The 12,819-nt window shown below is 44.3% G+C and overlaps 1 protein-coding gene across 1 annotated transcript in view, besides 1 other annotated feature; it reads left to right on the top strand.

Annotated features, from left to right (window-relative positions):
* Positions 1–12,819, top strand: part of PRR14L (proline rich 14 like) — a 68,786-nt gene that overhangs the window by 43,989 nt on the left and 11,978 nt on the right. Inside the window, exons 5-7 of the mRNA NM_173566.3 lie at positions 1,418–1,489; positions 2,423–2,594; positions 4,382–4,488. Of these exons, the coding sequence (NP_775837.2) occupies positions 1,418–1,489; positions 2,423–2,594; positions 4,382–4,488 (351 nt within the window). The remainder of the gene's footprint in view (positions 1–1,417; positions 1,490–2,422; positions 2,595–4,381; positions 4,489–12,819) is intronic.
* Positions 10,606–11,107: an enhancer, noted in NCBI's record as "H3K27ac hESC enhancer chr22:32091023-32091524 (GRCh37/hg19 assembly coordinates)". NCBI's record gives its function as "activates a minimal SCP1, AML or CMV promoter by ChIP-STARR-seq in primed H9 embryonic stem cells {active_cell/tissue: H9 hESC(primed)}" and the evidence as "EXISTENCE:reporter gene assay evidence [ECO:0000049][PMID:30033119]".

Raw genomic sequence — 12,819 nt, 5'->3', positions numbered from 1 at the left:
GCCAGGCTGGTCTTGAATTCCTCACCTCAGGTGATCCACCCGCCTCAGCCTCCCCAAAGTGCTGGGATTACAGGTGTGAGTCACTACGATTGGCCATTAATTTTCTTCTATATAGCTATGTTGTTTTGTTTAGTTTGGTTTTTGAGACAGAGTCTCCCTCTGTCGCCCAGGCTGGAGTGCAGTGGTATAATCTCAGCTTACTACAATCTCCTCCTCCCGGGTTCAAGCGATTCTCCTGTCTCAGCCTCCTGAGTAGCTGGGATTACAAGTACCCACCACCACACCCAGCTAATTTTTTGTATTTTTAGTAGAGATGGGGTTTTGCCATGTTGACCAGGCTGGTCTCGAACTCCTGGCCTCAAGTGATCTGCCCACCTCAGCCTCCCAAAGTGCTGGGATTACAGGTGTGAGCCACTGTGCCCGGCTGTATAGCTATGTTTTATGTGTAACTTGGCTTTAAAGAAAATAATTGGGCCAGGCGCGGTGGCTCATGCCTGTAATGCCAGCACTTTGGGAATTTAAGGTGGGCGGATCACAAGGCCAGGAGTTTGAGACCAGCCTGGCCAATATGGTGAAACCCCATCTCTACTAAAAATACAAAAATTACCCGGGCATGATGGCACGCGCCTATAGTCCCAGCTACTTGGGAGGCTGAGGCAGAAGAATCTCTTGAACCCGGGAAGTGGAGGTTGCAGTGAGCCGAGATCACACCATTGCACTCCAGCCTGGGCAACGGAACAAGACTCAGTCTCAAAAAAAGAAAAAATAATTGGTTTCTCTCTAATATTTTATAAGGTTATAGAAACTGTCAGATTTTATTAGTCAGTACACAACTGAGTGGTATAATATATTCTTTAAATTTTTTAAAATTTATTTTTATTTAGAGATGGGGTCTTGCCCTGATACTCAGGCTGAAGTGCAGTGGTGCAGTCTTGGCTTACTTCAGTCTTGATCTTCCGGGCTCAAGCAGTCTTCTCACCCCAGCCTCTTGAGTAGCTGAGACCACAGGTGCACTCCACCACCCCTGGCTAAATTTTTGTATTTTTTGTGGAAACAAGGTCTCGCCATGTTGCCCAAGCTGGTCTTGAACTCCTAGGCTGAAGCGATCTGCCCACCTCAGCCTCCCAAAGTGCTGGGATTATAGGCATCAGCCACCTTGCCCAGCCACTGTTCTTTCTTTCTGTCTCTGCCTTCTTTCCATTCAAGTTAGAAAATAATCTTCCTGTCAGTCTGCCTCCATTCCAGTGATGGGCACATAAATATAACTCTCCTGGTTGGAAAGCTTTCCTCTTTCTGAGTAACTGACATTTCTTGTCTTCTTGGGGCTATCATGTGCTAATACCCACAATAACATCAAAACCTTTCCTGTTATCCCACTGCCCTTACCTATTGCTTTTGTACTTTTGCTTTACTTTAGCCACACCATGTTACCATATGTGCCTCTTCCAGGCATGGAAGCTACATATAACACCAGCGGCAGTCAGACGAGGTAAGCACATGAGACTCAGCGTGTGTGTGCGCGTGTGCGTGTGTGTGTGCAAGAGAGAGAGTGCATACATAGGTGGTGTGGATCGTCTGTGGCATGACTTTGACCTCTTGTCCTTGTAAACCTGATCTATGTCTCTCAGATAAACATTTCTGAGATTGAAATCTGTTCTATTACAAGCAGCAACTAGGAATGTGTAATAATACAATTTGTTAAAAAAAAAAAAGTGAAAATCACTAACCAGCTTATTGTACCAGAAGTCCCCTCTCAAGCTATTTCATGTCTTAACAGCCAACTTCAGTCCCTGGACAGGATTGATCTTATCTGAGTACTGTTCATTTGTGCGGTTTACCAGATATCTTCCTCACCCAAAAAGTCTGTTCCTTTTTACATTTTTCCTTATAAAATTCCATAGCAATAAAATGGATTACACATTCTTGTAATTTTTTTACATATGTAGATACAGGCTATGTCTGGAAGTGACTAGAATGCAGGTTGACTGGATATATTATTCTCTGGAAAGAAAGAAAAAGTATTGAGGCCTAGATGTTAAGAAGTTGAGGCTGGGCGTGGTGGCTCACACCTGTAATCCCAGCACTTTGGGAGGCCGGTGCGGGTGGATCACCTAAGGTCGGGAGATCAAGACCATCCTGACCAACATGGAGAAACTCCGTCTCTACTAAAAATACAGAATTAGCTGGGCGTGGTGGCGCATGCCTGTAATTTCAGCTACTCGAGGGGCTGAGGCAGGAGAATTGCTTGAACCCGGGAGGCAGAGGCTGCATTGAGCCGAGATCGTACCATTGCACTCCAGTCTGGGCAACAAGAGCAAAACTCCTTCTCAAAAAAAAAAAAAAAAATGAAGAAGAAGAAGTTGAATGTGCTGGAAGTAGAAAGGGAACCCCTCTCATATCTTCTTTCTCTTCATGGTGCTAGGCTGGAGCCTCCATTCCCTGCCTTGGTACCAAAGTCTTGCTTGGTAGCAGAATCAGCTGTCAGCAAGCTCCTGCTTTCAGCCTCTGAGTTCCAGGTTCGTGGATTGGATGAGCTGGATGGTGTGAAAGCAGCATGCCCCTGCCCACAGAGCAGCCCCCCAGAACAGAAAGAGGTAAGTGTAAAGTGCTGGTTGGGTCAGATGATGGTGGCATTGGAGGTGGCCATTGTCAACTCACATCGCATTATAGCTACAGACTGGCTTCTGAGTATCTTTACGTACCACCTTCAGTGTCAGCCGAGTTCTGGAGAGTACTAAGCCAGGAGTTTTTCTCTTGGCCAGTAAAGGACACAGTGGATTTTTTAATCTGCATTGTTTTCCAGATACTTTTTTCTTGCCAACAGCATGTAACAGTGTTTAGAGAATTGGACGAAAGAGCTGCTTTGTGCATTCAAAGAAGATGAGTGGATGGTGATGATGTTCAATTTTGCAACGTCTGTTGTCTTCAACAGTTGCAAACTTTCATGTTGACAGTCTCAATATCTGAACTGAATGTACAATTCTTGTTTTGATGATATGAAGGGAGTAGTTGCTTAAAACACAGCAGGGGCCAGGCACGGTGGCACACGCCTGTAATCTCAGCACTTTGGGAGGCTGAGGCGGGCGGATCGCTTGAGTCCAGGAGTTCAATAGCAGCCTGGGCAACCTGGCAAAACTGTGTCTCTACAAAAAAGACAAAAATGAGCTGACTGTGGTGGTGCACACCTGCAGTCCCAGTTACTCGGGAGGCTGAGGAGGGAGAATTGCTTGAGCCCGGGAGGCAGAGTTTGCAGCAATGACCCCAGATTGCATCACTGCACTCCAGCCTGAGTGACAGAGTGAAACCCCATCTTAAAAAAAAAATAAAAGGCCGGGCACGGTGGCTCACGCCTGTGATTCCAGCACTTTGGGAGGCCAGGGCGGGCGGATCACCCGGGGTCAGGAGTTCGAGACCAGCCTGGCCAGTATGGTGAAACCCCATCTCTACTAAAAATACAAAAATTAGCCAAATGTGGTGGCACATTCCTGTAATCCCAGGTACTCTGGAGGCCGAGGCAGTAGATTCGCTTAAACCCAGGAGGTGGAAGTTGCAGTGAGCCTGGATTGCACCACCACACTCCAGCCTGGGCGGCAGAGTGAGACTCCATCTCAAAAAATAAATAAGGCCAGATGCGGTGGCTCACATCTGTAATCCTAGCACTTTGGGTGGCCGAGGTGGGCGGATCACCTGAGGTTGGGAGTTTGAGACCAGCCTGACCAACATGGAGAAACCCTGTTTCTACTAAAATACAAAATAAGCCGGGCGTGGTGGCACATGCCTGTAATTCCAGCTACTCAGGAGGCTGAGGCAGGAGAATGACTTGAACCTGGGAGGCAGAGGTTGCGGTGAGCCAAGACCATGCCATTGCATTTAAGCCTGGGCAACAAGAACAAAACTCTATCAAAAAAATAAATAAATAATAAAAAAAGCAGGAATAGAAGTGGGAGCTTTGTCATAAACTGCTTAATAGAGTCATCTCTAGAGTGAGGTAGCAATGTTTTAAGTGTCAAGATGGACTTTATATATTTAAAATATCTTACAATATGCCAGGGGTGGTGGCATACACCTATAGTCCTAGCTACCGCAGAGGCTGAGGCAAAAGGATCAGTTGAGCCCAAGAGTTCCTGGCCAGCCTGGGCAATATAGCGAGACCCCATCTAAAAATAAAAATTCCCAGTTACGGTGGCTTATACTTGTAACCCCAGCGCTTTGGGAGGCCAAGGCAGGAGGATCATTTGAGTCCAGGAATTCAAGGCTGCAGTGAGCTATGATTGCACCACTTCACACCAGCCTGGGCCACAGAGTGAGACCTTGTCTCAAAAAATATATAAATAAAATGTCTTACAGCTTGACCATCTTTCTTCTTAATCCTTAAAAATAGGCTGAGCCAGAGAAGAGGCCAAAGAAAGTCTCACAGATTCGCATCCGGAAAACCATTCCTAGGCCAGATCCTAATCTTACCCCCATGGGCCTTCCTCGACCCAAAAGGTGAGCTCCTTCTCTGTTACAAGCTAGGTTCACTTTTTTGGAAAATTGTTTGTCATAATATAATTGCCCTTTAAATGGTCCTACACTCTGAGCCATTTATTACATTTCTAGGAATTTATCCTAAAGAATTAATTAGTAATGTCGCTAGATATTTATAAGCAAGGACATTTTAATACATTGCCTACATAATCTTAGTAAACCCTCCAAATGAACCTGTGTTAGGTCGTAGCATTGATGCTGGCACATGTGATTTCTGTGTGTCACAGGATTTACCCAACCCCAGAGCTCAAGCTCCTAAATACTCTGTGCACTAAACTGGAAAAGGACCTAAAAGTCCTAAGTTTAGTTTTTCTTAAAAAAGATCTCCAAGCCGGGTGCAGTGGCTCACACCTGTAACCCCAGCACTTTGGGAGGCCGAGGTGGGGAGATCACCTGAGGTCGGGAGTTCGAGACCAGCCTGACCCACACGGAGAAACCCCATCTCTACTAAAAATACAAAATTAGCCGGGCTTGGTGGCGCATGCCTATAATCCCAGCTACTTGGGAAGGCTGAGGCAGGAGATTCGCTTGAGCCTGGGAGGTGGAGGTTGTGGTGAGCCGAGATCGCACCATTGCACTCCAGCCTAGGCAACAAGAGCAAAACTCCGTCTCAAAAAAAAAAAAAATCGCCAAACTTATATTTTCTTCTGATCGATTTTGCTTCTCCATTTCTTATCAGCAAATGGAAGCCTGACAGTGGTCTCTCAGGAGCTTCCCTGTAAAATATGAATAAGAATTCCCAACACTTAAGCTTTCTATACAGGGCCAGGCGCGGTGGCTCACGCCTGTAATCCCAGCACTTTGGGAGGCCAAGGCGGGTGGATCACAAGGTCAGGAGTTTGAGACCAGCCTGACCAACATGGAGAAACCCCGTCTCTACTAAAACTGCAAAATAAGCTGGGCATGGTGGCACACGCCAGTAATCCCAGCTACTTGGTAGGCTGAGGCAGGAGAATCGCTTGAACCCAGGAGGCGGAGGTTGCGGTGAGCCGAGATCGTGCCATTGCACTCCAGCCTGGGCAACAAGAATGAAACTCCGTCTCAAAAAAAAAGATTTCTGTACAGTCTAATTGAGAAAAGAATGTGTACTACCTCCGTTATAGTGCTTCACACAACACGAATAAAATAATCATTTGTTAGGGTCATGATTGATGTTCCACTTCTGTACCATAATCTTTATCTTAATACGTTGTATTTTTGTCTTATGTTTCTTTTGTTGATCTATTGTATGTCTTTTCAAGAGAAATTTTAAAAATATTTCAGATATCCGAGATCGGGTAGTATTTATTACTCGAATGAAATAGGATTCATTATCAGTTCTATTCTCTCTTGCATTTATATGTCTGAAGAACCTTGTTTACATAAATAAGTAGTTGGGAGAGGAAAGAGTTTTAATATAGTAAAGTCATTCAATTATTTCCACTTCTTTCAAGTTATATGCCAAAAAATCATAGAGTGATCTAGCATTATATTTAAGGAAAACAAAAGATTGAAAAGCACTCAGTCACAAAGGTTCTGTTGCCCAGGCATTAGTGGCAGTTACTGTCTCAGTGTCTGGCGCAGACCGAGAAGGGTCCGGCAAATGTCAAATGCCAGATCCTCTTTCCCTTAGAGGTACCTTATTCATTCCAATATACAGAAAGGGGGTTGAGAAAAATAAAATTTTTAATAAATCTTTGCCTAAACCTAGGATGTCTTTTGATAAAAATGCTATTAATCAAATGTACTTTTGTCAAAAAAAAAAAACCCTTGAAGCTGCAGATTTTAGTACATTAAGTTTATGGAAAAGCCTGGGCATATAATTTAATTGGTGGAAGCAATCTTTTATTTAAGCCCATCAAGCAAATCATTCTTCCTGACTTTTCTGTTTTCCAATTCAAGTAAATATGTTAATTTATCCTTTCAGGAAAATGATATAAAACACTGAGAAATAAATTATGGAGTACAAATTGTGAGGTATATTTCTAAAAGTCTTAAAGTCATCATTTATCCATTTTAATAATGCAGGTTGACTATCTCTTCTCCAAATTCTTGGGACCAAAAATGTTTCAGACTTCAGATTTTTTCAGATTTTGGAATATTTGCATTATACTTACCAGCATCCCTCATCTGAAAATCCCAAATGCTCCAATGAGCATTCCCTTTGAACATAACCTTTGAGCATCATGTTGGCACTCAGAAAGTTTCAGATGTTGGAGCATTTCAGATTTTGGATTTTCAGTTATGGATGTTCTTAATAACCCAATAGTGCCAACCTGTGCATTACTAAAACAACATGAGGCCAGGAGCAGTGGCTCACGCCTGTAATCCAAGCACTTTGGGAGGCTGAGGTGGGTGGATCATTTGAGGTCAAAAGTTTGAGACCAGCCTGGCCAACATGGTGAAACCCTGTCTCTACTAAAAATACAAAACTTAGCCAGGCGGTAGTGGCACACGCCTGTAATCCCAGCTACTCGGGAGGCTGAGGCAGGAGAGTCGCTTGAACCCGGGAGGCGGAGGTTACAGTGAGCCGAGGTCGCGGCACTGCACTCCAGCCTGGGCTGGGTCTCAAAAAAAGAAAATATTATTTCTCAGTTCTAAATTTATAATAAAGCATTGTATGTTTTGAAGTGAGGAGTATGGTAGAAAGCATGATACTGCTTTACTAAATGTGTATGCATACATGAATTAAACTCTGGTATTAGACTTTTTTTTTTTTACACAGTCTCGCTCTGTTGCCCAGGCTAGAGTGCAGTGGCACGATCTCGGCTCACTGCAAGCTCCGCCTCCCAGGTTCACGCCATTCTCCTCCCTCAGCCTCCCGAGTAGCTGGGACTACAGGCGCCCGCCAGTACGCCCGGCTAATTTTTTGTATTTTTTTAGTAGAGATGGGGTTTCACCATGTTAGCCAGGATGGTCTTGATCTCCTGACCCCGTGATCCGCCCACCTCGGCCTCCCAAAGTGCTGGGATTACAGGCGTGACCCACCGTGCCCAGCCACTTTAGTATTAGACTTTTAAGAATGATTCAGAATTATTGTAAAAATCAGAACTAAATCTATTGATTTATATAAGTCTCAATGATTGCTTTCTTTTTTTTTTTTGAGATGTAGTTTTGCTCTACATAAAAAAAAAACTCATTGTTTTGAGATGTAGTTTTGAGATGTAGTTGTTGCCCAGGCTGGAGTGAGCCACCAAGCCCAGCCTGCTTTCATATTTAATATAAGAGAAAAGTATATTGGACAAACCAATTGGCAGGGCAGTTTATCACGTACTTTTTGGTATTGTTAATGGGGATAGAAGTTATAACATCTGGCCGGGCATGGTAGCTCATGCCTGTAATCACAGCACATTGGGAGGCCAAGGCGGGTATATCAACTGAGGTCAGGAGTTCAAGACCAGCCTGGCCAACATAGTGAAAACCTGTCTCTACTAAAAATACAAAAATTAGCTAGGCATGGTGGCAGGCACCTGTCATCCCAGCTACTCATGAGGCTAAGGCAGGAGAATCGCTTGAACCCGGGAGGTGGAGGTTGCAGTGAGCCATGATTGAGCCACTCCATCTCAAAAAAAAAAAAGAATTACAACATCTTATAGGATCAGATCAGAAGGGACTGACTACTTGAATTAAATATTTCATTATATGAATTGATAAAAGTTCATGCCTTAACCAAAGGAAATTACTTAAATTTTTTCTGTGGGTTTTGTACACTTCAAGTGTTTGGTAGTCCCAGTAAACATCTTGATATATATATAGTTACAGTTTGTTTGTTTTGTGACAAGGTCTCGCTCAGGCTGGAGTGTAGACGCATGATCATGGCTCACTGCAGCTTCAACTTCAACTTCCTGGGCTCAGGTGATCCTCCTATCTCAGCCTCATGAGTAGCTGGGACTACAGGCATGTGCTACCATGCCCAGCTAATTTTTGTATTTCTAGTAGAGATGGGATTTTGCCATGTTCCCCAGGCTGGTCTTGAACTCCCAGGCTCAAGTGATCTGGCCACCTCCACCTCCCAAAGTGCCCAAATTACTGGTGTCAGCCATCGTGCCGATCCCATGTATATGTTGAGTGGAACTTTTCTAAGTGATGACATATTGTTAATGAGAAGTGAGAATAGCTAGAAAAAATATTGTATATAATTAAATACACGAACAAGCTATTTTTAGTGTTTGAAGCTCTCTTTCCTAAGTAAGGTTTTTTTCTTAAGTAGACATTATTTGATGATAATCAAGGTGAACGAGGCAAAGTCACTCTGACAACTCCTTTCCATGAGATACCTGAAATCAATTGTCCAATTGCCCAAATACCCAATTTCTTTTTTTTTTTTTTTTTTTTTGAGACAGAGTATCACTGTGCCACCCAGGCTGGAGTGCAGTGGTGCAGTTTTGGCTCACTGCAACCTCCACCTCCTGGGTTCCAGTGATTCTCGTGGCTCAGCCTCCCGAGTAGCTGGGATTACAGGCACCTGCCACCATGCCTGGCTAATTTTTTGTTTGTTTGTTTGTTTGTTTGTTTGTTTTTTGAGAAGGAGTTTCACCCTTGTTGCCCAGTCTGAAGTGCAATGGCATGATCTCGGCTCATGGCAACCTCTGCCTTCCAGGTACAGGCGATTCTCCTGCCTCAGCCCCCCGCGTAGCTGGTATCACAGGCACACGCCACCACACCCAGCTAATTTTTGTATTTTTAGTAGAGACAGGGTTTCACCATGTTGGCCAAGCTGGTCTCAAACTCCTGACCTCATGTGATCTGCCCGCCTTGGCCTCCCAAAGTGCTGGGATTACAGGCATGAGCCACCGTGCTCAGCCCCTAATACCCAATCTCTAAAGGCACTCTTCTCTCTTAACTGAATAATGTGTAGTAAAGGAAAAGAAAAGCCCAAGACAAGTTTATGGTGATTTCATTAATCACTGGAAAGGGCTTAGCAAAATGAGTGTTTTGATTGATGTATCAAAGAAGAATTCAGGATGGGTAGGAGCTGTTCTGAGAGAATTTGTGGGAACAGAGAGACCTGCAAGAGCAATTCAGGACACTTCTTAGATGTATCACTTTTAGAAATTAGAGATTGAGCTGGGTATGGTAGTTCACACCTATAATCCCGACACTTTGGGAGGCCAAGGTGGGAGGATCACTTGAGCCCAGGAGGTTAAGAGTAGCCCGGGCAACATGGTGAGACCACATTTCTACAAAAATTAATAATAAGGCGAGGCGCGTTGGCTCATGCCTGTAATCCCAGCACTTTGGGAGGCTGAGGTGGGTGGATTGTGAGGTCAGAAGTTCGAGACCAGCATGGCTAACATGGTGAAACCCCATCTCTATTAAAAATACAAAATTAGCTGGGTGTGGTGGCGTACACCTGTAATCCCAGCTACTGGGGAGGCTGAGGCCGGAGAATCGCTTGAACCCAAAAGGCGGTGGTTGCAGTGAGCCGAGATCGCACCACTGCTCTCCAGCCTGGGCAATAGAGCAAGACCCCATCTAAAAAAAAAAAAAATTATAATAATAAAGAAAAAATAGAAATTAAAGATTGAGTGGTTGATTCTCCTACAGCCGGGTTCTCGTGTACTCTGTGGAAAGTTTTTAGGTACACTAAAGACCACTGGTCTAACATATTTAGTAGCAACCTAATTTAGCTCTTAGGATTTTTACCTTAGTATTACGTATTGGTTCAAGTCCAATCAGGAGACAGAAATCACACAGTATTTTAGACAGGGGAAGTTTATTATAAAACATTAAACTATGACAGGGAGTAACCTTAAATGTAAAGAGAATCCTGAAGGGTACACTCGGGTTAAGGGAGAGTACCCTAGGAAGGGCAAACTTGGAAGGGACACCACCTCCCTCAAGGTTGGAGTTGAGACTTGGTTGGAGAAGGTGAGGTTGCAGCCCATTGGATGGGTGGGTTGCAGAGGCCAGAGCTGGGCAAGCAGGAAATAACAACCACCTTCTCAAGCATAGACAAGATAAGGCTGCTGCAGACGGAGGTAGGGCACTGCTGTGATGCAAGGCCTGGAGCATGTGGTTTTTGCTTCAGGAGAGTGACAGGAAATGACCATCAGGAAGTCAGGTTACCACTGAGGGCATAAGGCCTGGAGTGCCCTATGCGTGTTGGGAAGCCTGCAGCAAAGTGGTCGCCAAGCTAAGGCTGCAAAGTCACTGAGGGACTACATGTCCTGGCCGCACCACTAGGGCAGAGAAGCCCCAAGACACCCCAACATATATTAATCACTGATGGCCCATGGTGCAGGAGCAAGAAAAAAAGCTCACCAAACCGGAAAGAGAAGCTCCCTTCCACCTGCATTGTTCCTCCAACACCTTGTGACAAAGTTTAGCATCATACTCACTGCAAAAGAGAAATGCTTAAAGGGCCTAGGATTCCGTTATCACAGAGCAGGTACTGCAGGGCAGATTTTGAGCTGAAAAGCAATAATTTCATCATTGGCATATAGTAAACAGTAAAATTTTGATACATTATTCGCTTCACAAAGAGCTGTTCTTTTTTTGGGGGTATATTATTTGCTTGACAAATAACTGTAGGTTTTTTTGTTTTGTTTTGTTTTGATGGAGTCTGGCTCTGTCACCCAGGCTGGAGTGCAGTGCCGCGATCTGGGTTCACTGCAACTTCAGCCTCCTGGGTTCAAGGGATTCTCCTGCCTCAGCCTCCCGAGTAGCAGGGACTACAGGAGTGTGCCGCCACACCCAGCTAATTTTTGTATTTTTAGTAGAGACAGGGTTTCACCATTTTGGCCAGGATGGTTTTAATCTCTTGACCTCATGATCCGCCCATCTCGGCCTCAAAGTGCTGGGATTATAGGCGTGAGCCACCGCACCTGGCCTAATTTTGTATTCTTTTTCTTTTTTTTTTTCTGTTTTTGTTTTTGTTTTTGTTGAGACGGAGTCTTGCTCTGTCACCCAGGCTGGAGTGCAGTGGCCCGATCTCAGCTCACTGCAAGCTCTGCCTCCCGGGTTCACGCCATTCTCCTGCCTCAGCCTCCCGAATAGCTGGGACTACAGGCGCCCGCCACCACACCCGGCTAATTTTGTTTTTTGTATTTTTAGTAGAGACATGGTTTCACCATGTTAGCCAGGATGGTCTCGATCTCCTGACCTCATGATCCGCCCACCTCAGCCTCCCAAAGTGCTGGAATTACAGGCATGAGACACCGTAATTTTGTATTCTTAATAGAGACAGGGTTTCACCATGTTGGTCAGGCTGGTCTTGAACTCCTGACCTCAAGTGATGGTCCAAAAAATGTTTAAAAGTTGCTGCTGGCCGGGCGTGGTAGCTCACGCCTGTAATCCTAGCACTTTGGGAGGCTGAGATGGGTGGATCACTTGAGGTCAGGAGTTTGAAACCAGCTGGCCAGGCGCAGTGGCTCACGCCTTTCCCGGCTGGAGTGCAGTGGCACGATCTTGGCTCATCGCAACCTCTGCCTACCAAGTTCAAGCGATTCTCCTCCCTCAGCCTTCCAGAGTAGCTGGGATTATAGGTGTGTACTACCACATCGGCTAATTTTTGTATTTTTAGTAGAAACAGGGTTTCACCACGTTGGCCAGGCTGGTCTCAAACTCCTGGACTCAAATGATTTGCCCACCTTGGCCTTTCAAAGTGCTAGGACTACAGGCGTGAGCCACCGTGCCTTGCCTATAGTGTGTTTTATATGTTAAAGAAATACAAGTGGGTTGAAAATATGAATAATGAAGCAAGATATACTTAAAAATAACCAACTACATTTAAAGTAGAACTGTACAGAATTTCTAAAAATGTAAAATTGAATAATCAAAATAAAACTTTAATAAATGGGTTAACAGCAGGTTAAATAGAGCGAAATAGTGTTAATGAACAGGAGCACACCAGAACAAAATTTTCACAGTGAAGTACAGAAACAAAAAATATGATCAAGGGAGAGAATTGAATGAGGATGTGGAGCAACAGGCACTCTCATTCACTGCTGGTGGGAATGCAAAATGGTATATAGCCTCTTTGGAAGACAGTTTGGCAAGTCCCGTACAAAACTAAACCTACATACCATACCATACAGCAGCTGCACTCCTTGGTATTTACCCAAATGAGTTGAAAACATTTCACACAAAATCTGTACATAAATGTTCATAGCAGCTTTATTCAGAATTTCTAAAACTTGGAAGCAACCAAGATGTCCGTCAGTAGCTGAATGAATAAACTGTCTGGACAATGGAATATTACTCAGTACTAAAAAGGAATTAGCTATCAATGATATAAATGATATGGAGGAATCTTAAATGCTTACTACTGAGTAAAGGAAGCCAATCTGAATAAACTACGTACTGTATGAG

The sequence above is a fragment of the Homo sapiens genome, chromosome 22, assembly GCF_000001405.40.
Source record: "Homo sapiens chromosome 22, GRCh38.p14 Primary Assembly".
NCBI lineage: Eukaryota > Metazoa > Chordata > Mammalia > Primates > Hominidae > Homo > Homo sapiens.
Note: the sequence above shows the minus strand (reverse complement) of the source record. Positions and strands in the feature narration are given on the sequence as shown.